At 39.1% G+C, this 25,443-nt stretch overlaps 1 protein-coding gene and 1 long non-coding RNA gene across 2 annotated transcripts in view, besides 1 other annotated feature; both read left to right on the forward strand.

The window, feature by feature from the left end:
• Positions 1-21,405, forward strand: part of LOC105374971 (uncharacterized) — a 241,097-nt gene extending 219,692 nt beyond the window's left edge. Inside the window, exons 6-8 of the long non-coding RNA XR_001744025.1 lie at positions 5,210-5,446; positions 20,176-20,224; positions 20,349-21,405. This is a non-coding gene — a long non-coding RNA (uncharacterized LOC105374971). The remainder of the gene's footprint in view (positions 1-5,209; positions 5,447-20,175; positions 20,225-20,348) is intronic.
• Positions 657-2,757, forward strand: HDGFL1 (HDGF like 1). Its single transcript, NM_138574.4, has one exon. It carries the CDS (start codon positions 667-669, stop codon positions 1,420-1,422), a length of 756 nt encoding a protein of 251 aa, NP_612641.2. The 5' UTR covers positions 657-666; the 3' UTR covers positions 1,423-2,757.
• Positions 15,098-15,298: a silencer, noted in NCBI's record as "peak5731 fragment used in MPRA reporter construct". NCBI's record gives its function as "represses an SCP1 promoter by STARR-seq MPRAs in K562 erythroleukemia cells {active_cell/tissue: K562}" and the evidence as "EXISTENCE:reporter gene assay evidence [ECO:0000049][PMID:32103011]".
• Positions 21,406-25,443: the final 4,038 nt, after the last annotated feature.

Here is a 25,443-nt window from a genome sequence, read left to right on the forward strand (position 1 = left end):
AGCCAGTAATGTGGACTTAAGACATCCTAACCACACTGCTGACTCTAACCCTTTAATAGACTTTCACGTAGTTCTTGAGCCTCACTGCAGGCTCCAGTGCTAGTCCCGGAGGAAATCAGAAAAGGGTTGAAACCACTGACACAGCCATCTCTTTAGCTCCTCCTAACGCAGGTGTACAGTTTCCTGTAGTGAGCAGATCGGGGCCTACAGGGACACTGCATGCTTGCACTGGGCTGTTACTAGTTTCATGGAAATATGTACTAATTGTGTCACTGTGTTTTCTTGTCACACTGCCCCCTTTCTAGGCCGCTCTGGCACCGTTTATTTAAACTGTGCAACCATCTGGCCCAGGTGCCGTAGAGATTGATCAGTAGCACAAGGCCACCACAAGCACAACCGCCACCCGGCCATCCCAGCTATTTCCTCCAGCATTCTAGACATCATGGCGTCCGAGGGTGGGTCCAACGGGCTTCGAGTGTTCGGGAGATAATGCACACTTCGCAGTGGATCTTCTCGGGGCCCCGAGCGTTGCCCGCCCATTAGGTGGCGCCGGTCCCCTCGAACAGGTCGCTCAACAACTCCCGCCCAGCAGCCGCCCTTACTGCGCGCGCGCAGACTTCGGCGTCTACTTCCGGTGTGGCCCAGGCGGGGTCCGCAGAACCAGCTATGTCGGCCTACGGCATGCCCATGTACAAGAGCGGGGACCTGGTGTTTGCCAAGTTAAAGGGCTATGCCCACTGGCCGGCGAGGATAGAGCACATGACCCAGCCCAACCGCTACCAGGTGTTTTTCTTCGGGACCCACGAGACGGCCTTCCTGAGTCCCAAACGCCTGTTCCCGTACAAGGAGTGCAAGGAGAAGTTCGGCAAGCCCAACAAGAGGCGCGGCTTCAGCGCGGGGCTGTGGGAAATCGAGAACAACCCCACGGTCCAGGCCTCCGACTGCCCATTAGCCTCAGAGAAGGGCAGCGGAGACGGGCCTTGGCCGGAGCCCGAGGCCGCAGAGGGCGACGAGGACAAGCCGACCCACGCTGGTGGCGGCGGCGACGAATTGGGGAAGCCGGACGACGACAAGCCCACTGAGGAGGAGAAGGGGCCGCTGAAGAGGAGCGCGGGGGACCCGCCGGAGGACGCCCCCAAACGACCCAAGGAGGCAGCCCCCGACCAAGAGGAGGAGGCGGAGGCGGAGAGGGCGGCGGAAGCGGAGAGGGCGGCGGCGGCGGCGGCGGCGACGGCCGTCGACGAGGAGAGTCCGTTCCTCGTGGCGGTGGAGAACGGCAGCGCCCCTAGCGAGCCGGGCCTGGTCTGCGAGCCGCCTCAGCCAGAGGAGGAGGAGCTCCGGGAGGAAGAAGTCGCGGACGAGGAGGCCTCCCAGGAGTGGCATGCCGAGGCACCGGGCGGCGGAGATCGCGACAGCCTGTAGTTACCAGCGTTTCCAGAAGAGCCCCTGCCCCGTTCCTGCTGCGGCCTGGCCGTTCTTGGGGAATCTGACCACGGCGTGCAAACTGGGACTGCCTTTCCCTCTCCTCAGCCCGTCCTCCTCCAACCCGCGCTCCTTTGCCCTGCCGGGCCCCAGGATGGCAGGCCACCTGACTCTCACCTCTGTGCCCCCACGCCTCTGTGATCTGAGTCAGGGCCTCAGTTCCCTCCCTGGGATAAAGTGAGGCCACCATCCCAGCTTCCGGCTCCCTCTTCTCCCCCCTCTACCCGCCACCCCACCCCACCCCACCCCCGCCCACTCGTTGCCTGATTCCGTTTCCGACTTGGGGTTCAGGCAGGCTGTTTTCACCTCTAGACACCCCTCTCCACCCCTCCTGCTTCCCCAGGCATTATGAACCTCTGCTTAGGAATATGGGTAGGAGTGAAAGGCCTGGCAGATAAAGAGCAGAGGGCACTTGCAGGGCCTGGGATGAGCAGTCTTCAAGCTGTGGTAGTTAGCGGGCAGGAGAGCGACATCTTCCTGAGCTCCTGTCCATGCCTGCCATACCTGCCAGCTTCAGACATTTAGGGAAAAGGGGCAGCATGTGGGGAATGCCCCCCGCCTTCCACAAATCCTTTTGCTGACCCAGGAAGTTCTGGGAGTTGCCGTTTTTCATCAAAACGTTTGGGGGCTTCCAAGTTGTTTGTGAGATCTGAAAACTTAACTTTGCCCAATATCCTGGTTGGGGACCGTGAGAAATATCTGTCCCATTTAGATCTCTGGGGCCACTGATGGGATGCCCTGGGAAGATCCTTGGCTGCCGCTTTCTCTCCCCACAGCCTCAAGGCCACCCTACCGTCATATATATCACTCAGGCGTAGAAGAAAAGACACATATTTTATAAAATCTTTTTAATAAAAGGAAGTTCCAAGAAGAATTTTTAAGAACTACCTCTAGGTGTGCCTCCACGCTGGCCCTAGCTTTCCCATTGCTGTTCCATTGCTGAGACAAACTGGAAGGCTCCCTTTCTGTTTGAAGTTTTATGACTTGTAGTCAGGCTTTGCTGTTCGTCACAGTGTCATTTTCCATTCAGGTACCATCACCTGGTCCCATCAACAGGTCTAGTATGTAGCTCACTGATAACAGAGGAAGATGTGTCTCCTCCCACCCTCTTCCTAATGGTCATTATGCCTTTCTCCATCTATTGTCTCTTTCACCCCTTCCCCTCTCCCTTGGGCTCTGATGAAAAATTGTTGACTGCAGTTTCGGAAGTTTGATCTGAGAACCAACCATAGAATGTTTCAGTTCTAGGAAATAAAACCAGTTGATTAAAGCAAATTTTCTCCGGCCTGTTCCTTTGGCTTCTAAATAATTGGTTCTTAAATGGAATGCTCCTCTTATTTTTTATACATCTTGTGTTAAAGCAATTGTAATATACAGGGACATTTTAGAATCACCTTTGAGAAACCTTTGTTATCTTAAGGTCTCTATCCTTCACTTCGTCTGTAATAGTCACTACCACTGATTTGAATAAATGGAAACAAGTTAACTTAGAATGTTTGGATGCTGACAAATTGGGACAATGCTTTGCCAAAGAACTGCTTTGTGGAAAAATAGGGTGAAGGGATTGGCCTTTTTTTTTTTTTCTTGCTTCCCCACGTGTAATACTGTTTCTTCCAATGCCTTACTCATGAAAATAAGACAGTTGCTTTATACTCCCAGTTTGTAAAATAAATAGTATTTGTAGACTATTTTGCATTTGCAAGTGGCTTTGTGCAGATATCTCAGGATATTTAAATATAATAATTGTTACGTATTGGGCATCCTAATTTCTGTATTCATCAACATTGCATGCATACGTGGCTTCAGTAAATACTGTAGTCCTTCTCATAGAACGTGCTATGGCATCACTAACCAGCGTGGTTGGCAGCTGGAGACAACCCTGTTTTCCATCCCTGAAAAGATGGTATTATTTTACTTCAAGATGTATAAATCAGATGATTCCTTGTTTTTCAATTACTGTTATTGCAATAATATTAATACTAGAAGTTACTAGTCACTGAATGTCTACTCTGTGTCCTGAAGATGACTTCATTCAATCTTTGTAATAATCTGGCAAGGTAGGCATTAATACTCAAATTTTTCATTGGAAGAAGCTCTGGTTCAGAGGTTAAGTGGCCTTTCCTGCATTCCACAGAACATTCAGTATTCAAACACAGGTTTTACTAGTCCAGAACCCGTGATCTTTCTCCTGAAGGGCACATTTAGAAAAGCACTAACAATGAAATCAGAAGTCAATAAAAGCCGTTTTAGTATTAATAACAAGAAATCATGATAGTAGCTATTACTGAGTCTCTGAAGTGAGCCAAGCAGTACAGTATGTTTTACATGTGATGTCTTTATTAATACAACTACCTAATTAGGTAGCTACTAATACCTCTGTTTTAGAGCTCAGGGAGCTGGGGTTCAGAGATGTTAAACAATTTTCCCAAGGTCATACAACTAGTAAATGACAAAGCCAAGATTCAAAAGCAGGTCTTTCTCATTCTGAATCATAGGTGCTTTGTTTCATTATATTTTATTGCTTCCCATTGAATAAAACTTTCTACTGAATACAATGGGAGTACTTATTCTCCCCTACTATTTTGAAACAAACATTTAGAAATCTGTAAGGCAAAAAATATATTAATGGATGTTGCTAGTGGGTGTTTAAACAGTATCATTTGGGGCAGCACCTGACAAGTGTTTTGTCTTTAAATGACTTGGTAAAATGATAAGGACAACTGCACATTGAATATTTTTCAAGTTGGATGTGACTATAGGAAGTTTGAATATGGATCGGTATTTTCGCCGCAGGCGGGCATATGATTCTGATAAGGGTTTTATGGAGGCACATCTTCTGAAATGATTCAATAATGTGAAGTATAGAAAATGAAATTACTACCATTTGTGTCTATTTCTTTGCACTATTTCTTTCCTCTTTTTGTGCTTCTAATATTGGGGATAGAAATAATTGTTTACTAGGACTTGACACACACATTTGCCTTCTTGATGATGATGGTATTGAAGTGAAAACAGTAATCCGATACTGGAAACCCAAACCTCACCATTATGCAACGTATCCATGTAACAAACCTACACACGGATCCCCTGAATCTAAAATTAAAAAATCACTTCCAAGAAATTCGGCATGGATCACAATTAGCAAGCAAGAAGCTTAAAAAAAAAGATAGTCCAACTAGTAGTACATCTAATGAATGATACACTGAGTTACTAAATACAATTAAACCTAACAAAAGGAACTATGGAGAAAATCTATATTCTCAGCCCTGTTTTCCTGGGTATTATACCCCATTTATATGCTTTGGTGGCCAAGAGATGTTTTTGTGTGGACTGAAAAATATGCTGCTTTTAATATTTTCTTTGATTATTGAAAATTCCCAATAATTCCAGTGCTGTTTTTGTTTTCGTCTGAATAACGTGTGCCTCAGTGACAAAATTACTGATCAATGACTAGTTACTTAACTGAACCAAGGGTGCTTGCTGCTCAACCTTTTGCTGATGCTGTGTTGTCAGTAGTCCAAACGTGTCCATGAGTGTTTGGAAGATCTTGTTTAAAAGTTGCATGTAAATGTATGCTTGTGATATTGCCAGTGATTTGCAGACACATTTAGCATACTATTTCCTATAAGGTTTTCAAAGTATTTGATATTTCACACAAACGTTACTCCAGCAAGGGATTGAGATGCCATTGAGGGCTGTCAATTTTTCTGTTTTCTTTTTCTTTCAGGCAGGATTGAGCTTTCAGCTGCTCTGTAGATTCTCATCAGAGGTGCAGACTCTTCTTTGTGGATCATACCTACATTTTATTTTTCCTGAAAATATAGTATGTATTCAGGGCACACAGGCATCTTCTATTCACTTCATCATCAACACTTGTCAAACAAAAACTGCTATTCATGCTACAGACTCATGCAGCTCCCTGCATTTTGAAAGAATTGCCTCCCTCTTCTGAGCCTGGCTCAAGGTAAGACCCATCCCTTTGTGTTCCTGTAGAGCCCTATACTTGCACTGATGGTGTTCTAATTTCTTGTGTATTGCTTGCTCTTCCACTAGACTGGAGGATAAAGGAAATGTGTTTCATTAATATTTACTCCCACTTCCCAAACATGTCACAATCAGCACACAATAGATACGTTCTAAATGCTCGAAGGTCTGTTGTCAAATATTCCTTATAATCGTGGTGCTGGAGTAAAAGTCATGTGATGTTGAACACATTCCGATTCTGAAAGCAGAGAGGCAGGGTAAACTGGCCAGTATACTAATGGCAAGTGTGAGTTGGGGTGATTTTCTGTCTGTGTCATAGCTGCCTAGATTAGGTGACTTGATGACACTGACAGTTCTTACAGACCCAGAGAAATTTCCCTTTTAATGTCAAGGTAATGCTATTTATTTTCTCTAGATCTTCCCTCCATCTGGGTCACTTGTAGTTTAACCTTGTATAGTGCATTTGAGCCCCAGGTAGACAAGGGAGCATCCTGCTTGCTTCCAGGCAGGAGCCATGTATTCACCATTCAGCCAAAAATTTACAATAATAAAGAGTAAGTATGCCAAAAGGAACTTGTATCTGCCATTCTCTCAGCCTCTTGTCATGTAGACACCTCATTTGCTGTAGACACTTCTCAGAATGTAATATCTTTGAAGGAAGGGGATCTGTTCACCCCACAATATGGTTGGCCTGAATCTTATAAGCCAATTATCTGTCTTGAATATAAATAAGTTATCTTTTCCACTACTGGTGAAAAAACTGACTGTATTAAACCTTGAGATATCTAAAATAGAGACATTCTAAGTGATTTTCCAGACTAATTCTGACAGCAGGCGATTTTCTCTATGCAGTCTGTTTTTATATGTAAACTTCAATTTCACTGAAATGGTCTTGAGAATGCCAGAGGATACACAGAGAAGATCATAGCAAAAGGCTCTGATGGCCAGAGGCAGCTTGGGGCATATGTTGACCAAGGGCAGCCCTAGTCATAGAATGGCCAAGCCGTTGCATGGGGACCAAAGAAAAACAAATTTATCCTACTTTATTGGCCTGATGTGTGGTCATTGTCCAAGAACTGTGAGTCATTTGGTGAGTGCCCTTTTCTTCCCTCTGTTTTTTTTTTTTAAATCAGTTTGAGAAGGCTCTTCCTTCTGCTCAGAAAGCTTATAGCTCTCTTCTCTTCTTCCTCTTGATGTAGAAGTACTGTGTCATAGTACTTTCCCTGAAGTACTATGTCAAAATGAGGTATCACTTTAATGTGTTCCCGTAAGACCTTGGTTTTACCTTTATAGTATCTACTGCACTCACCTATAGTTATCCATTTATTGGTTTTTATGAAGTAATAGATTGTACATTCTGTATGGAGAGGACTGTATCATTTTACTTATTTAAACCAAGGGCCTGGTTCATATATATATTAAGCACTCAATAAATGGTTGCTAATAAGAAAATGAATGAATGCATGGCTAAATCCTGGGGCTCACCCACCCTTACTCCAGCCCCAAGAGGAAAGTTTGAGGAATCTTGTCATGCCTAGTAAAAAATGGTAAGGGGAGCCAAAGATTGTTTTTCACTCACGTTGTACCATTGATTAAACAAGATTATTTTGTTATAAATAGGTGTTGGTCTCACAAAGTAGCAGACCTTAGCAATGCTGAAGCCTAAGGAGGATAAATCAAATGATCCAAGTTTGCCCTCTGAATCTGAGTGTGAATATGCATGTCAAACACAACATTCATCTGCTTTAGTGATTTTTCTCTTTAATATTCTGATATTTTATCATCAACTTCCTTTAATATAGGAAGCATCTTGGTGGTTTCTGGCTTTGGAGTCATCCAATCTTAGATTTAAATCCTGGGCTCCACTATTTAAGAGCTATGTGATCTCAGTTTCCTTGAACTAAAAGCTGTGATAATGACTTTCATGTGACAGCTTTGTTGTGAGAAGCAAATATGCTCATGTATGTTGAAATATCAAGCATAGTATCCAGCACAAAATAGGCACTATGTACATGTTAATTCCAATCCCTTCCATGTGTATCCAGAGAACTAATGTTACCGTTTCATATATTGCAGCCCAACTTATCACCTTTATTTAGAAAACACTGGAGGCCTTTGCCAGACGCAAGCAGCTCCCTCGTTTTGAGATATATATATATATATATATATATATATATATATATATATATATATATATATATGATAATTCTAAATTTAGTCTGTCCATACGCAGAGAGGAGCTAAAAATCTTATCCTCCCAATTATTCATATTGCTCTTCAATATCTTCTTAAATTCCCTCACTGGTAGCTGAGCTACTTTATACAGACACATCCGGTTTTAAAGATTCCTCTTTCTTGGCATGACTCATCCCTCCTGTGGCCAGTTTTATTCCTCCTGTTATTTCCCTAGGATCCATTCACTGTTTTCCAGGGGACATTTCCTAAATGTGTCTCCTTGAACGCTTTGTATTATTTCTGATTTTTTCCAACTATAGAAATAGTAATTATATTGCTCTAGTTATTTCTTGGCTTCCTGGCCTTTTTTTCTAATGTACCTTTCCTTTCACACATAATTTTAATGAGCTGCCCAACTCGATTACTAAAAGGCACTGGAGTATTACAAGGGTTTGACCGTTCTTTCCAGAGGTTCTCTCTGGTTTTACATCCTCCTGTGATCTACCAAGCGTCACTTAATTTTTCTTTCTCTTTTTTCTTTCACACCCTGGCCAACTCTTCATCACAGTCATTATCCACCTCTGTTGGTGATCTACTTAACATTTCATTAAAAAATATGTTCAGCTCAGCTCCTTTCTTCCTACTCTTCACATGTCAACAAGACCTGCTTTCCACCTTTCACTTGTGATTCTTCTGGTGCTCAGAATTTGTCAATCATTAGTTCTCTTTTTGGTGCAGTCTCTCCACACACCCACCCTCAGCACATCTGTATTTCAGTCTAGGCTGCATTCCCATCAACTGCCATTCTTTTTTTTCCACCTGTTTTCTGTCCTTGTTTTTACCCTTAGATGTTGGGACATCACACTGATTTTAGTCAATGAATACTTTGATGATAGTGCCTCAATAAGCCTTTTAAAAGAAAAGCAGAAATAGGAAAAAACAAAGATAACTGTCCTATTTTATGAATCTCATTTTTTTTTAAAGTTAAAATCTGCTGAACTATTAGAAACATAATAACGTTGCTTCCACATATTTTGGAGGTTGTTAGATGTGAAAACTGGAGGAGAAAGCATTGCCACAAGGAAGGGGGTGTGCCTGCATTGCAGGAGGGCCTACTGTGAGGATGGGGACAGAGCAGTGAATGAGGCAGAGAAGCTACCTACCGTCCTGAAGCCCATATTTCATGGGAAAGACAGACAGACAATGAATAAATGAGACCATTTCAGAATGTGATCATATCAGGGTGTGACAGAGAATAAGTGAGGAATATATATTTTCAATTATGTTAAAATTAAACTTTGTATATTAGACTGCTCTTAGGAAGTGCGTGGCTCATTTCAAATTCAACCATTTTGGTAGAACAAAGTATTTCTGCAGTACTGTGAGTTTATAGCTCTATTGCCTGTACTAGTGGTTCTCCATCTTTTTAATGTGTAGAAAAAGATCCCGGACACTTTCATACCAGTAAACATTTCTCTGTGTGTGCAGCATCAACAATAATAACAGCACCCACTTACTGAATGTTTACTATGTGCCACATGCTCTTCTAGGGGCTTGAGATACATTACTAAACAATATAAATAAAGTTCCTGGCTTTTTGGTGCTTCCATTTTAGCAGATGGAAAAAGGCAATTAGAAATAAACTTAATAAATAAGGAAATTATGTTGATGTTAGAAAGATGTAAATGCCATTGGAAAAAACAAAGCAATGGCTAGAGAGTAGTAGGCGGAGGTGGTGCAATTTCAAACACAGCAGTAAGAATGGTGGCCAAGTTTATGTGAACACCTGGGGCTTTCTCTTTCCCTCCTCCGTAAGTCATCACATGAGAAAATAAGTAAACAGAGTGGCATCCTTATAAAGATTACCTTGAATCATTATAATTGGTAAAATAGAAATAATCCACAATCTCAAATACTTTACTATTTATAAATTATTGCTAGTGGCACACCTCCCAGCCAAGAGAGAGACATGAATCCTATAACATCTGAAATGAAAGCCATTGCTTGGTACCAGTTTATTATATATACCTGTGTGGCATCTTTTGCATTGTGATATAGACCATATTTGACCTTTATTTTATTTACCATTTTGCATGCATTTAATTCCTCAAATAGAAAATACTCAACCACAGGGACCATGAAATTTGTTTTTCTGAATCTTCTGCAATACCTAGCAGAGCGCGTCACAAATCATCATCTGTTTTTATTGACTAACTTAATGTAATGAAGTCACAATTTAGGCACATGTTAACAGCATACCTCAGCATCCTGAGAGCATGTGCACATGTGAGATAAGTTTCCCGTGAGACAGGAGTCCTAGTAGTAGCTGGATGCCAATGAGCTGGATGTCACGGAGTATTCATGAGGCATGTTGTTATTGCATGCTACAGTTTAAGCTTTGCAGAGTAGACATATTTGCCTGAACACCTGCCCCATCCCCATCTTTATAGCTGATGTCACTCACTTTTAAATGCAAACTGAGTGGTTGACATTGGAGTATGCATAGCAAGGGAAGTATGTATGTGCAGGTGGGGAATATTCTAAAGACAAATTTCTATTTTGCAGTTCCTTTCAAGGTCAAGTTTTTCTTAAATCATATAGAGATACTTCTCTATTACATTTATTGTCATTCTTAAATCATTTTAGGCTTTGGAAGCCTTCTCCATTTTTTTTTTCTGGTCCGGAATCTGAATTGTTGTTTGATGACAGGAGCCAGACTTTAGAATTGGTATAATAGATATAAATCTACTGTGTTCTCGATATGCTATCCAGACTTCCAAGTAGAGGCCTTGTGAAGTCCTGGGTTTTGTAAAATATAACTTGAAATGCCAATATTTTAGATAAATAATTGAAGCCTGGGTTGGAATGATAGTGCAGACTGTGTAAAGAGATTCATGTAGGATAAGCTAAAAGCCTTCTTTCACAATGCAGAGAAAACCCATAGTTTTGCTATTTCTACTTTGTTAGCATTCCTACCAACTGCTCACCTGTGAGCAGGCATTGCCGTTAGGACTGAATGTCACAGCCTTGAAAAAAATCTACACTAAAGTCCCGTGGTGAGGCAGAAAAAAGAATGGACACACATCAGAGCTGTTCGAGCCACATTAATTACTAAAGTAGCTGAGTATCCACCCTCTAATATTTCTTGTGACTGTCAACATGACTACGTAGTTGACAGAGCAGAGCACGTCACAAAGTATCATTCATTTATATTGATTAAATATATAATCAATATAGTTAAGTCATGTTGATATTTTATTTTAGTCATGTTATTATAAATGTTTGAATGCCAAGCAGATGGAATTCAGTGCAGGTATACTATAATATTTTTGACTCCGTGGATTTAAAAAAGAGAGAGAATAATTACAATGATATTTTACCTTCCAAGTGCTCAGTGTGGAATAAAAAACACAAAACCAAAACATATTCTACTTTCTCTTGTCCCACCCTTGCCTCCTCAGAAAAAACATCACCTGTATCAACTCTACAAATACTATACCATGCAAGAGAATAAACCTCTGGCCCTTTGATTGTGGTCACCCCATGAACTTGTTAAAGAGAGTCCCTCAGGGTTAAATATAAAGAATAATGAACAGCTGAAAAATGCTGGGCTGCAGTGATTCCCAGACCATCACACGGAGTCATAGCCTGCCATATGTGTTATCACCCAGAGTGGAAGGGAACCTCCTCCAAGAAGCTGCATATTGGTGAATCCTTTTTTCTGATCCTGTAGGACCAGGATGGATACCGATTTATCAATTTTGAAAAAACAACAACAAAGAAAGACTACGTCAGAGATGGTTGATGGCAAGGTGCCTCTTTATTCTTGGAGGACTATTTTAGCTGTTAAAATGAATAGATGCCCCCAAGAATTATATCACAGAAATAATTAGTGTACCATATATCTGCAGGGCTGCTCTCTCTGCACTTTCCCCAGTTTGGCTCAGGGGACAGACAGTAGTATATTGCTGCTGCCGCCACCGCCTCCCCCTAATAATGGCCATTATTCATAGCAGGGCACTGGAGGTCACTAGCGTGGTCTTTGTGCAAGAGACCCTACTATTCATCCTGTATTATTCTCTAGATTGTGAGCTACGGCAAATGGATTAGGGAACCAGTTTATTTTTTGTATATGAGATGTAGATTTGACCTTGGGTTGTCCTTCTGCATCCTCTATGATCTCACAAACCCTAGATATAAGACAGCAGCCTTGTAAAAAATCTCCAACTGTGCTTTGGTTTTGAGTTTAAATCACAGTATTCCAATCATTTGTTGGTTTTGCTATAAAGATGCCTGGGGCATCCAGCTTCAACTGAGAGGGCAGACTTGTCATTGTTAGTAATTAGAAGGAGCCTGGTACTGATTCAAGGTAGCTCAGAATTCATAAAAAAATTTTTTTTAAACCAAATGTGTTAGTGAGATGTAGTTTGCTGAATTCATTGTAGCTGTGTGGCTGTCTTTTTAACCTTGCTGCCCTGCTCATTATACATGCAGTCAGTCACCAAAGACCTTGGTTCCCCGCTGTGCTCCTGAAGCCTGATAAAATGCATCAAATATTAGATGAATCTTCTGGTCTTCTGTCTCTTTCAGATACATGGGTATAGCTATAGATTGAAATAAACTCCTAACATTTAATGCTGTATATGGGCTGGCGCTTAGTAGGCACAGAATAAATGCCTAATAAATTAATAAATAAATGATTAAGTGAAAAGGATATTGCTTATGGCATTTCAAAGTCAGCAACTTTATTTTACTGAGGAAATTAATCAATAGAGAATTGCCTAATCTTGCACACACAAGAAACACTTCTCAGGGAGGCACATTTCTATGACTTCTTAGTGTTGGTTTCCTTATCAAGGAGGCAGCATCTAGACATGTAAAACAGTTTTACCTTACCTACAATCCCATTTCAGAGGTTTTTTTATTGTCTCTACACAAGGTATTAACACTGATTAGCCACTGGACCCTGCTTTAAAAGTGGGCTTGCCAGAAATAGACAGGGATGCTATTTCAGGAAAACAAAAATCATTTTAGCAGTGTAACCACAGAACACTGGTGCCACAGCAAATTAATGGATGCCCCACCTTGAACAACGTGTTAAGGTAATATGTGATCATCTCAATTAGTAATTTCACTCCATGAATTCCAGAGCTGAAGATTAAGGTAGACAAAGTAGAATCACTAACACCTTTATGAATTGTTTATACTTTCATTTGACAATGCCTATGTACCTTATAAGCTCTTCTTGTATTAAAAATCAAACTTTGTTCAGTTTTTTGATCTATTCATTGATATGTGAGCATAATGTATCTGGAATTTAAGTATGGCTGGACTGGAATCAAATTGCAGTTTAATGTAAATATGCACAGAAAGGATAATCAATAAATTTTTGAATTAGCCTTTACTATCATAACCATAAATATACCTTTGGTTTTTTTCTAGCATATAGAATGTATTATCAACCACGTGAAATCTTTTTGTTTTTCCTTTAGTTCATGACCAGTTAAACGAAAGTTGAAGCTAAATATAAAGAGAATAAAAGTGAAATTATCATTTAAAAAAGTGAAAAAAGTATGGAGAGTATTTTTGGAACCAAGGAAAATGATCAGAATTTGTATAGTTTGGAAGTGATTCTGACCCCGGGCTAGGTCCAGTTCTCCCTGATAGTGAGCAACTCAGCTGTTTCTCTGCCCTGTGTCTCCTTTGTTAACTGACTCTACCAGCATTTTCAGGTAAACTTGCTGGAAACATTCATTGAGTAATCAATGAATCTTAAAGAATCAGCCACAGAGGTATTTTTATGTAAAATTATGCCCTGTTATTCGAGAAGGACATATTTCTGTACACGTGCATAATTACAAGTGTTTAGCTAATACTAGGTTTATGATAAATTCTTCCACCTTCATTTCTAAGATGGTAACGGTTAAAAGTTTTTGTTTTCTTTTTTTGTGGTGGCAAGTTATAAATTTACATTGGAAATGTATGAGAATTTCTGAAAGCTGTAGATTAACATTTATAACTTCACAGGAAATATTTTAAAAGCTCAACATTTGAATATTTTTGCATTAGTGAAGAGGCCTATTTAGTGAGATCTAAGGATGGATTATGAGTGTGGCTGTAATGCCCATTGAAAAATGAAGAAAGTGTAATGATTTAAACCAAATTTGAAAAACACTAACCCACAATCTATGTCTTACTTGCCTCCTGGTCAATATGATTTACAATGTATAATTAAAGAAGTGTTAAGTTTCTTTAAACATGTGCAGACGAAGCCTAAGATTCATGAAGGCTGAAGGTGTGAGTGACTTATTTAATACCCCTTCTGTTCAAACAGGCCAGTAAGGGCTCTTATTCTTGTGATGGTATGAAACATACATCTTTAACCTCAATAGCCTAATGTTCCTGCTATACTGAAAGTATTGAGCAAGGCAGTCTCGTTTAATGTAATGGTTTCTTTTCTGGCAAACAGAGCTTTATTTCACAACTGGGATAACCCATTACTCAAATCCCAGCAATAGAGTTTTCCATGACAGTCAGCATTTCTGGTTTCTGATAGTGACCTCTAAAGGGTGACAAGTTTCTCTTTGGCTTAATGCTAGTGAGTAGAAAACATCACCGTGAGGGCAAAGTGACCTTGCTTTCCTTACAGAGTTGGGCGAGTCACTCTTTAGATACAACAGAAAATGTAAAATATTTTAAAAGAGATATTTCATTCTCCTACCAGTGAGGTCAGAACTTAGTTTCCAATTTTGAGAATTGGAACAAGTTGCTACCACTTACTGTTACAAATTTCAAGTGAGGTAACGAGAAATGTGAGAAAAGTGAAAATATATGTATCTGACAGCTCTTGACAGCGTTATCATAGAAGGTCAACTTGATTAATGCCACGTGAAAATGAAAGCACACTATAAACCGTGAAAGCTCAGCCCCAAGAGTGTCTCACATCCAGACAAATCTGGCTGTAATGGCAGTTTCTCCACAACATAAACTGGGGGGAGGTAGGTGGGTATTTGCCCTTTGGTTTAGATGGCTACGTGATACAATACAGGCCAGGACCTATTGTTTATATAGATATGCAAATGTTGACCCCATTTCACATTTGAGATTTTATTAAATATGTTATCATTCAGAATAAAACTGTGCATCTAAGAATGTATATATATGTATAAAAATAAGATCTTTGAGCAGCTGAAATAGACGTCATTGAAGCTCATGCTTGAGAGAATCTGATGTGTGTCCCTGGGAGTTGGAGGACATCAGGGAGAACTGTGAAGGCAGGTGGTCAGCCTGCCCCGTGAGGAGACCACAGTTTTAAGATACTGAGAGTGTATTATGGCAGGTTCTGAGCCAAGGAAGGGTGGTGGGAAAAGGTGATACTGATGCCCATGGGCCACATAGGCAACAATACCTCTGCAGGGCCTTTGGAAGGGCACAGTGTTCTCCCCTCACCCGAAAGGAAAAGTATTGATTTGCCTGCAATATGGGATTTTGGCAATAGCTTGAAGATGACTGATAGTGGCACCATAAGAGGACTTGTTGCCTTCTGTCCTAGTCATCCTCCTGGGCTGCAATCCAGAGGTGCCAGAGCCCAGAAGAGAGAAGAGAGAGGAGAGAGAAGGCAGTTGTGGTTGTCAAGGTTGAGAATCATGTTGGACAAGGGAAAGCAAAAGAGACTTATAGAGCTTGTAGACTTAAATTTTAAACTGAGTGAAGTCAGCTGGGACTTTTGCACAAATGATTATAGTTGAAAAATCATGGAATCTGACTGAGATCACATTAATGGACAAGGAAGCAAGATTGATTTTTTGGAGCTGATTTGAAAACAGTGGTTATAAAGAAAAAAAATTACATTTCTGTTTTATTAAGTGAGGAATTTAATCTCATATCCAATACCCTTTTCTTTCCCTGAGTGGTTGTGTTGAATGAATGAATGCATGAATGAATGAGTTTGAACCTTATCGCTAACTGCAGTGTTAAATGCATGTTTTTCTACATTTAAAACAAAATCAAAGCCTCAATGAGCAGATGGTAGAAGCTTTTATTTTCCAAGAGACAAAGAGCCTGCTCATGCCCTTTAACTCACAGCAGTGGGAGGCTGCAGTCTCCCCCATGGGTAAAGTCAGCCTGAGTAAATCACAAATTGTCAGGAAAGCCCATCCACAGCTTTCACATTTAAAATTTTATTTAAATCATCAAAAAAAAAAATCCTGTCTTTCAGTGATCTATTTTGATATGTGAGAAAATTAATACTTTTATGTATTAGTGTTTTTGCTTTTATTAAAATGGATTAAAAAACCCATAGTCTAAAATGAATAATCAAGTTCATCAAAAGGGGAAACAAGGGTAGCCAAAATAAAATTTTAAAATCTCAATACTTGGTATTAGCATTGACAGAGCCTAAGTTCCACAAGGATTTAAATTTGATGATGTGGACTAAAATATGCCTACTGCCTTTATGCTGCACCTTTTATAAGTGTTATTCCAAGAAAAGCAGCGGAAACTATGCATGCTGTTTGTTATTTCACGGCATAGGATATTTGCTGTTACCAGAGTCTCATTGTTTGAAAGAGACTTTTTTTCTAATATGAATATGAAATACCTCCTTTGGAGTCAGAGGCATGCATTAATATCTATCATTTGCCTTTTAATGGGGCTTCTGGTGACTCCACAGTTTTAAATTTTTCTATATGTATCAAGTATTCTTGGCTGAACGTTCTTGCTATGTCCTCTACAAATATGGATGGAAATAATTATATGGAGGATGGCTTCATAAGGTGATGTCACTCCAGAGAAAACCTGCACCACAGGGAGCATTTCCAGCAAAGTATGGCAGAAACTGCAGGGTAATCAAAGTGCAAATTCCAATTTATTTAAGCAATATTGTTCTTGCTCCTCCATTTCACAAAGCTGTCCTTTCTCATTAAATTTTTGAAAGAGAAGGAATGAATTTCACCAGCAGAAATCTGAATGCTAGTTGACCTTTTTGAAAACTCTGCATGGAATGCCAGCATCAGCTGTCTTTTCACACACCACGTGGTGACAAAAGGAAGAAATTGAGGCTTATAAGGAGTAAGTCGAATATATGCAAGACTTGATGCCATCCAGCTAGGCTTTTATTTGAAAGGAGGTCTATGTATATTGAGGGGAGTGTATTTGTTGATGGCCCATGAAGAGCTTGAACAAGATATGTGTCTGAGGATTTCTGTGTGTTCTAGAGGGACATCCCAGGGCCTTGGTTGGATTTGATCAGGGCATAGGTGCTACTCCATAGCAAGTGCGTTTTGCTCTCTGGAGACAAACAGATGAATATAGACAGAGTTGATAACATCTGTATATTGGTGACAATCTGACGCAGTTAAGTGCCTTTGCTTATTTAATAGTTTATTCTTTTATCAGATTATTACGAACCATCAATGATGTATCAGCTGGCAATGTACTAGGTGGAGGGATGACAAACATCAAATAAAATTCAGCTTCTGCCCTTAACAGGCTCATAATTAGAAGAGGTTTTCTTATTAGTAGGCAGAACACTACAACTGAGTGTAATTCTGTGGTGGAAGGAGGCTCAGAGGGTGCTGTAGGAGTATCCTGAAGGAACCCTAATCCAGGTTGGTCAGAGAGGGAAGCTTCCCAGAAACAGTAATGTGTGATGTCTGATTTGAGTCTTTAATGACCAATCCATCAGGGAGGGGTGAGGCGAAAGGGTTTCAAAGCAAAGGAATGAATGTTTTCAAAGCACCAAATGTAAGAGAAAGCAAGGATAATAATAAAAGCACTTCCCTTTTGCTAGAGAGAAGGTGTGAGAATGAGGAAAGCATCAAATGGAAAAAAAAAAGAGAGAGAGAGAGTTTGTCCATTGAGTCTTACTTTCTATGTTGTGTTTAAAATATATGGGTTTTATAGTAAAGACTAGGGTAGCTATTGACATAATTGCTCTTAGCCTCATGCTCCAGGGGCCCTTGCTCTGGGACTCATGCTTAAGAAGGCCTGCATTTCATAGTCTCAAGAGGAGAAAATGTTATGAAAGAATACAAGGCCACTTCTATCTGTACTCAGGTTTTAGTACTTATTGCTGGCCCAGTTCAACACATCATTTCAAGCATCAGCTTTTGTGACTAACATTTAGTCCCCGGGCAAACACTTCTCTACATCTCTGGCACTGTGTATAGAGGGAATGAGGTCCGCACGCTGTGAGGGTCTATGGATATGCCACTGCCAGCCCTGGAAATGGACACTGCTTCGAAAATAGGAAGAACGTAAGAGGGAAAAAGTGGAGAGAATTTAAAATTTTAAAATATTTATATTAACTGATCACCAGTTCTCAGATAACATGCCTGAAGAGCATTCTTGCGTAACTAAGAACAATTTCCAAACAGGACAAAAAGAGGTCCATTTACTTGTTTCCCTTCACGTTCTAGTTTGTAGAAAAAAGGAGACAAGAATTAGGGTGGTATTTCCAAACTTTGCATATGAAGATTAAGAAATATTTTACACTGTTAAATATTTATAATTACTCAAAATATTTCTTTCTCTCTCTATATATATATATCCCTACACATACACATGCAATATATGCATAAATATATATATACATAAAACTACATAATTTTATGTTGAATGATAAAATGGCTTTATTTATATCAAAAGATTTAATTCTTAAACATTATAAAAATTTAAACTTTACTTTGAAATATTTTATTTAATATTTTGATTTATAATGATTTGTCTTTTGCCTTTTAATTTTATAGGCAATTTTGAATATTTTGAAAGAAAAGATTTTGAAAATATGAACAATAACTTTTTTACATTTAATTTACATCTTCAATGAAAATATATTCCAGTTTTGTATACTTTGAATACTTTCAATCTTTTATATCGTTATTATCTCTAGAACATTAATTATATACACATCTTCAACATGACATAATTAGTAATTTTTCTAAAATTGATATTACAGAATATATAATCACAAATACATTTTTGTGACTTACTTTTCATTTTAACATCATCAGACTCTAAAAAGAATACTCAGAAATGTACAATAATACAGTTTAGTTATTTTTACTTTGTCCCTAACCACATTCCTGCAACAAGCATAGCTTTACATGTATGTTGAGATTTTTTCAGTATGGAGGCATATTTTTCACAGAAGGGGGACATATTCTGTTTATCAGCTTGTTATATTGATTTATAGTTTGTATAGATTTAACTCTATGTTGTGGGTATCCATCTGTACTCTTGCCCCAGGCCCTGCAATGTGTTAAGAGTGGGTCTGGTTACTGAATATCTTCAGCAAGGGAGTAGCGTGATTGATACTGCATTTGAGGACGATTACTCCAGTGGAGACAATGACATCAGTTAGGAGGTTGAGCTACCTCTTCGTGAGTAGCGTTTTCTATCTGTAGCTGGAGCTTCTGAATGAACCCTCTGACTTCTTCCCATAGCCTATCATCTGAGAAGTTTTGAGCCCTGCAACTATAGGTTTCCTTGTCAGCAAGTTCCTGGCCATAGGCCTATCCATTTTCAGACCAGGCATTTTGACAGCTCAACCACATTTCTGGATAAATTGAAGGTCTTCTACTCTTAACTAAAAGGAAAATTGAGAATCCACAGGAGTCTATCTTGAGTTTCAAACCCAAGGTTCATGCAATATCTAACAACAACCATTAACCACAGAGATTGTTCAGGCAAAATAACAATGTTTTGAGTCCATAGCAAACTCATTGGCAAGAAAGCCCACCAGATTTGAGCAGCAAAATAAAGACAACTCTCATTTAGAGTATGTGAAACCTCCAACCTGACCACTACCCCAGGGGCTCTGTAAGGTTTCCCTCAATCCTCTCAGGTTGCAGTTTTCCACTCTGATCCACCACAGGCTCCTGTGGAGTCAGCCATCTGATGTCTTCAAGTAAGAAATACAGAAGAGCCAGGTGGGTTTGAGATGCTATTGCAAATATCCTGCATAGATTCGTTTTATGGGCAGAAGGGAATTAGGAGAACAGAAACCAGTTTTTTCTTTTTCTAAAGCACTTTTTATTCTGGCTTCGACCTAAAATTGAAGGGGAAGTCTCCTGCCTACTGTCAAGCTGAAATAAGTTGTAGAATGCAACCTAAACAACAGCCAGAGATTCTAATTAAAGTTTTTCTTAGACTGACACACTTAGAAAGCTTTCTTCTCTATTTTTATCTAAAGAAAAGTAGAGAAGTTAAATTTGATGGTGATGCCTTGATGACATCAACTTTCTAAAACGAGAAGCGAATTTTGTTTAGAAAACACACTCTGTATAATCTTAGAACGCTTTCGTTTTATCATGTTTGAGAGGAGAATGTATCTTGATGTGAATACTGAAGGTTAATGCATACTAAATTATTAACCAGGAGATGAAATTGAGTAGTTCTGATAAATTCAAGTTTATATGTATAAATGTATAATTTATGTATACATGCGTAAATTTACATATATGATAATATAGAGATGGGGTAGTAAAGTAGTATTTTAATAAACAATGTAATTTCTGTTTTCAATTTGCACAGAATTTATGAATTTCTCATCACATCAGTAGTAATTCTGAGATGGATTTAGGTAATTAAAACTAGATTTAAAATGATTTTAAAATCTATTACAGTGATTACTCTTATTAGCAGTTTTATTTTGCTCTAATACATTTTATTCTATTTTATGCACCACATCTCTCCATTTCCCATAGGAGTGAGAAGTGTCAGCATCATCAACTCCAAAGACAGCTTTATACAAGATTAGCATCTTCAACAAGAATGTCAGAGGCATGAAAATGAGGAAAATGTAATCACAATCACTCACTATGAATTTCCTGGGACAAAATTAAACTTAAATGGCAACAAAAGGTGAACTTGGTTAAAATGATTGATGGACAGTTCTTCCTTGCTAAATTTCATTCAAAATAGCATAGGTCATATCCAAGTATGTTCTCATCAAAGAGTGGATTGCGTTCTGGTCTTGGTCTTGGGTCTGCTGCTTAATCCATGTGGGAACTTAGTCAAGTGAAACTAACTTTTTCCTTCCTCAGTGGACTCAACTGTAAAATGGGTAGAATAACAGTACTTGTTAGGATGTCATCTAAGTGAAATAGTACTTACATTTAATTGTAAGAATTAAATGACATGGTATGAGTGAAGCACTCAGCACAGAGCCTGGGAGTAGTGAGCACCATCATATATATTAACCATTATTGTAGTACCTGGAAACTGTGTTTTACTTGAACAGCTGTGTTTTTCTTGTTACTTATCTACAATTGACCACACTGGATATTTGTTTTGAGCCATAATGAGGATGAAGTGGAAAGATAAACCCATTTATCCCTCCTATTATAATTGTAAAGAGTCATTTTTAGTGAACTTCAATTATAAACTCAGGGACAAGAATATTCTTTATGAGAGCAAAGAAAGAGAGCAGAGGCTGCAAAGAATTGTGTCCCACTTAGACATTCCCTCGCAAGCCCCAGAACAAAAGAAAATTGGTCGCAAACAACAATTCTTTTAGCCACCTGGATCATGTCTGGCCAGGATAGAAGAAAACGGTTCTTGTTTCACTAATGGAATTTTAAAAGCATTGCTCCCAATCTTTCTGTGGGTAAGTTTAGACTCAGTAGAGAGCTCAGCCTGATGTGCAACAAATCTGGAGTTGTTGTGTGGCTCTCTTAGATGCCTGAATACATTAAAGGTGTGTAGCCCCAACTGAGAGCCTTGCACAGTAAGCACATGAGGGCACAAGCCACAGAATGGAAAACTCACAGCTTAGCAATTTGGGATATTTATTTTGTCTACTTTTAAAATATTTAGTCTGGAATATTTAAACTAATATTTGATTGGTGTACACACTTGTCCAAATTTACAGCAGCTGACACTGCATGGAGCTTTGGAGACGCAGGTTCACGGCTAGCTGATTGTTTAGAAAGCTCATATGTGAAAAGCCAGATCTTTCTGCGAATGTAGATAAAAAGTGGGTCAAGCCAAGTTTATGGAAAATGAGATAATGGGAGATTCGGAGAATATTCCCATGGGGGCCAGTTTTTCTGATGTCCAACTGAACTACATATTAATGAAGGATGAAAACCTCTCACAACTGATAAGCAGGCTGTCTCCTGGCAATTATCATAGCTTCTGTTGCAAAATAGGTACATTATTTGGACTTTATCCATTCCTTGACTTGCTCTCTGTGAGGAAGCACAGTCTCAAATAATTGCAGGTCTATTAGCACATCAATTACCTAAAGACCTTGATTTTAGCAAGGAGTGGATTTTAATCAATTGCTGCAAATGTTATCGAGAGATTAGTTGTCCCAGAGAATAAAATTAACTACAATTAGACTGTAATAACTTGTGAGTGCCACTAGCATCTATTTTCTAGTTCCTGTACAATTAATGCATTTTACTGCTTCCTGTATAAAAAACATTTAGACTTTTTCATAATAACTTGAATTAATGTTACCTTTTTAATTTCCTTCCTTGTAAGGAACCAAAAGGACACAACTAAACTAATACATAAATAACTTGCACTTTAATATATTGAGTTCTTACTAAACAAGACAATTTAAGATAATTAATAGAAACTAAAGAGTTTATTAAAGCAGAATTTTATTTCAGTCCTGAAATTGAATCCAGTGTTTTTAAAGCATTAGTGATTGGACAGAGGGAATGATGGGGGGAGATAAGAGAAAATACATCACGGTTCAGTGATGGTCAATTGAGGTAAAAATGACAACATGGCCGATCTGGGGACATGTGAACATTCAGTCATGCATCCAGAAACACCTGAGGAGGGAACTGTACTAGTCTGTTCTCATGCTGCTAATAAAGACATACCCAAGACTGGGTAATTTATAAAGGTAGGAGGTTTAATTGACTCACAGTTTCACATGGCTGGGAATGCCTCACAATCATGGTGGAAGGCGAATGAGGAGCAAAGTTATGACTTACATGGCGGCAGGCAAGGGAGCTTGTGCAGGGGAATTCCCATGTATAAAACCATCAGCTCTCGTGAGACTTATTCACTACCACAAGAGCAGATGGGGGAAGCTGCCCCCTATGATTCAATTATCTCTACCTGGCCTCACCCTTGACATGTGGGGATTATTACAATTTAAGGTGAGATTTGAGTGGGGACACAGCCAAACCATATCAGGAACTTATTAAAGTGTTGCACTTGCTGTATTCAAAGTGAATGAGAGACTATTATGGTGTCTATATAATTTACTTCTAAATACTTTGACACATACTATGCAATATAAAGCATGTGCTACTTAGTTTGAACTTCAATTCTAGGGCCAGTCACTTTCTCTGATCAAGAATCGACACTCCAATGGTGGTAGCTAGCATTATATGAGGAAGGCTAATTCTAAGGGTGGCTACTAAAAGCCCCATATCTTAAACAGCACCTGAGGATATGCTAATTAGCATAGTGAATGTCAGACATGGATTTGTTCAGTGTACTTGTGGCCTGTTATTTAGCAAGACTGGTAGAACTGCACTCTGACTGATTAGATGACATGAAAATTGTCTCAGAGATGTGACTTAGCTAAAATCTTTTTGTTGATATTACAAGGACTTGCATGGACAGCATGTAGGAATTCAGGGAGACTCAAAACCAGCTTTCTCAAGGATGGCCCTGATGCTTGATTCCTTAAAGGCTCTGTGGCTGGTTCTCGATTGCTTGGTATGATAAAAGTCACAGTTTCCCACCTCCAGAATGTTTTAATATCTATTTTGAGTGAAACTTTCATGTAGGGTGGTGGTTGCAGCATCTACACAGGCAGAAGGTGAGATTTTGTGTAATTATTTCAGGTTTGATTGCACATAAAAAGTTTAATATATTCAATATTTGTAGCAGAACTTGGCTGAAAACTTACTTTCATTATAACCTGGTAAAAGGTTGTAGAGGAATAGCGAACTTCCATTCACCTCAAATTGTTCAGTGATTAACTTTCTTCACCAAAAATAATTTAAGAGTTGTTCTTGTCTAAATTGGCTGAAGACACTTTGCAGCAGTACATCGGATTATTCCTGTTTGGGAAATAGGTAACAGTACTTACTCCCTTTGAAGACTGCAAAGTTCAGATATATGTAAGTTCACTTACGATCTTCCTAGTGTTGTAGGAGGACTCCAATACTTTGAGGCTAAAACATGAATTTTTAACCTAAATATTGACCCTGGATGTGTAAAAATTATTAGTTTTGTGATCCAATAACAGAATTTAGTACTTACTTCATTTTTGAATGTAGACAAACTACATATTACAGGTGCCTATAATTTTGTTACCAATATGAATCACAGAAATTTTTCATGACATCTTATGGTTGTTATACATAACTCTAAAGATTATTTAGGATCATCACCACTTGAAAATTATGGTAGTTATTAGAGCAACTGCTAAATCTCTTTGTTTAACATATCAGTAAATAATGCTAATTACTACATTGTTAACTTTTTTCTTATATTTTGAAATTTAATTTCAGTATAATTGGCTTTCTTCTTCATTCTATGTATTTTATGAATTTAAAAACATTATTTGGGGAAGGGGATCAGTAGAAATCGCCAGACTGAAAAGGGCTTCATGGCACAATAAAGAGTAAGAACCCCTCACCCAGAAGGTTCCTTCAATGCCAATACCATTCCCAAAATTAATCCAAGTTGCCTGAACTATTTCCTTGTTTATGTGATGTCATAAAAGTGAATGATGTGCATGTATCTGTGTGTGTAGGATGGGTTGGGTTGAACTGTCATAAATTAAAAAATAAGGGCAGCCAGTGTGGCAGATTCAGGAAAGGAAGATAATGGAGTAAGAGTAAATTTGTTGTAGGTTTTCTTAAAAATCTTTTTTCCATAACATCGTGCTGCATCATCAATTAAAAGGAAAAAAAAGGCTTATTTTCCAGTTTGTTGGATAGAGGAAGAAAATTTCATGGGGAACCATTTATTAAGTACCTTAACCTGACTTCTCTCCTGCCTCTACATATCCTCTTATGGGCAAAGAGGCTCATGACTAACATAGGCATTTGGGATAAAGGATACACAGCTATATTATTGGACCACAGACTTTAAGGCCTTGGGCCAACCACCTCAATGTTCTGGGTTTAATTTTAGTGGAGAAAAAAGTATCTGACAGCACTTTTGACTCCGCTTCCTTACCTTCATATGTGTGTTGCTCAAATTAGAAAGGGGTTTCCTGATCCTTGACTGCACTAATGTAGAGGTGTCTATGCATGGCAGGTCTTCCTGGAGAACCCTTGATCTGCTCATTTGTGAAACCTGGAGAAAAATGATTGAATGCCAGTGAAGTCATGGATAGGACTTTCATAGGTCTTGTTTGACTGCTCAGACATAAGTCTTATTAATATCTGTCACTGGAAACCTTAGTGTGGAAAAGCAAAAGCTATGAACACTGACTTGTCAGGTTTGAGTCCTGACTATGCATGTCCCTTATTAGTTAAATGACTTTATGCAAGTCACTTCCTCTTCTAAAACTTCAGTTTCCACATCTATGAAATGGCAGTCATCATCATCATCATCATCATCATCATCATCATCATCATCATCTTTATCATTTCGTCTCCCTTTTGGGATGCTGTGAGGTTTAAATCACATGCAGATGATATCTAGCATAACGTACTTATGGAATGCGGAATGTGAATGACTCCATATTCATTCTTTTGGAGTCAAATAGCTCTTGGATGCTCAATAGCCTCTACTAGGGCAAATTTGCTCTCTTGGAAAAGCCTGTTGAAAGAAATTTTCTTTTGTTTCTCATATTTCTTTTTCTAAAAGTGT

Source organism: Homo sapiens, chromosome 6 (assembly GCF_000001405.40).
Source record: "Homo sapiens chromosome 6, GRCh38.p14 Primary Assembly".
NCBI classification, from domain to species: Eukaryota; Metazoa; Chordata; class Mammalia; order Primates; family Hominidae; genus Homo; species Homo sapiens.

What these genes read in the sequence shown, in the direction of transcription:
- HDGFL1 (NM_138574.4), top strand. Translation starts at nt 667, where the DNA reads ATGTCGGCCTACGGCATGCCCATGTACAAGAGCGGGGACCTGGTGTTT.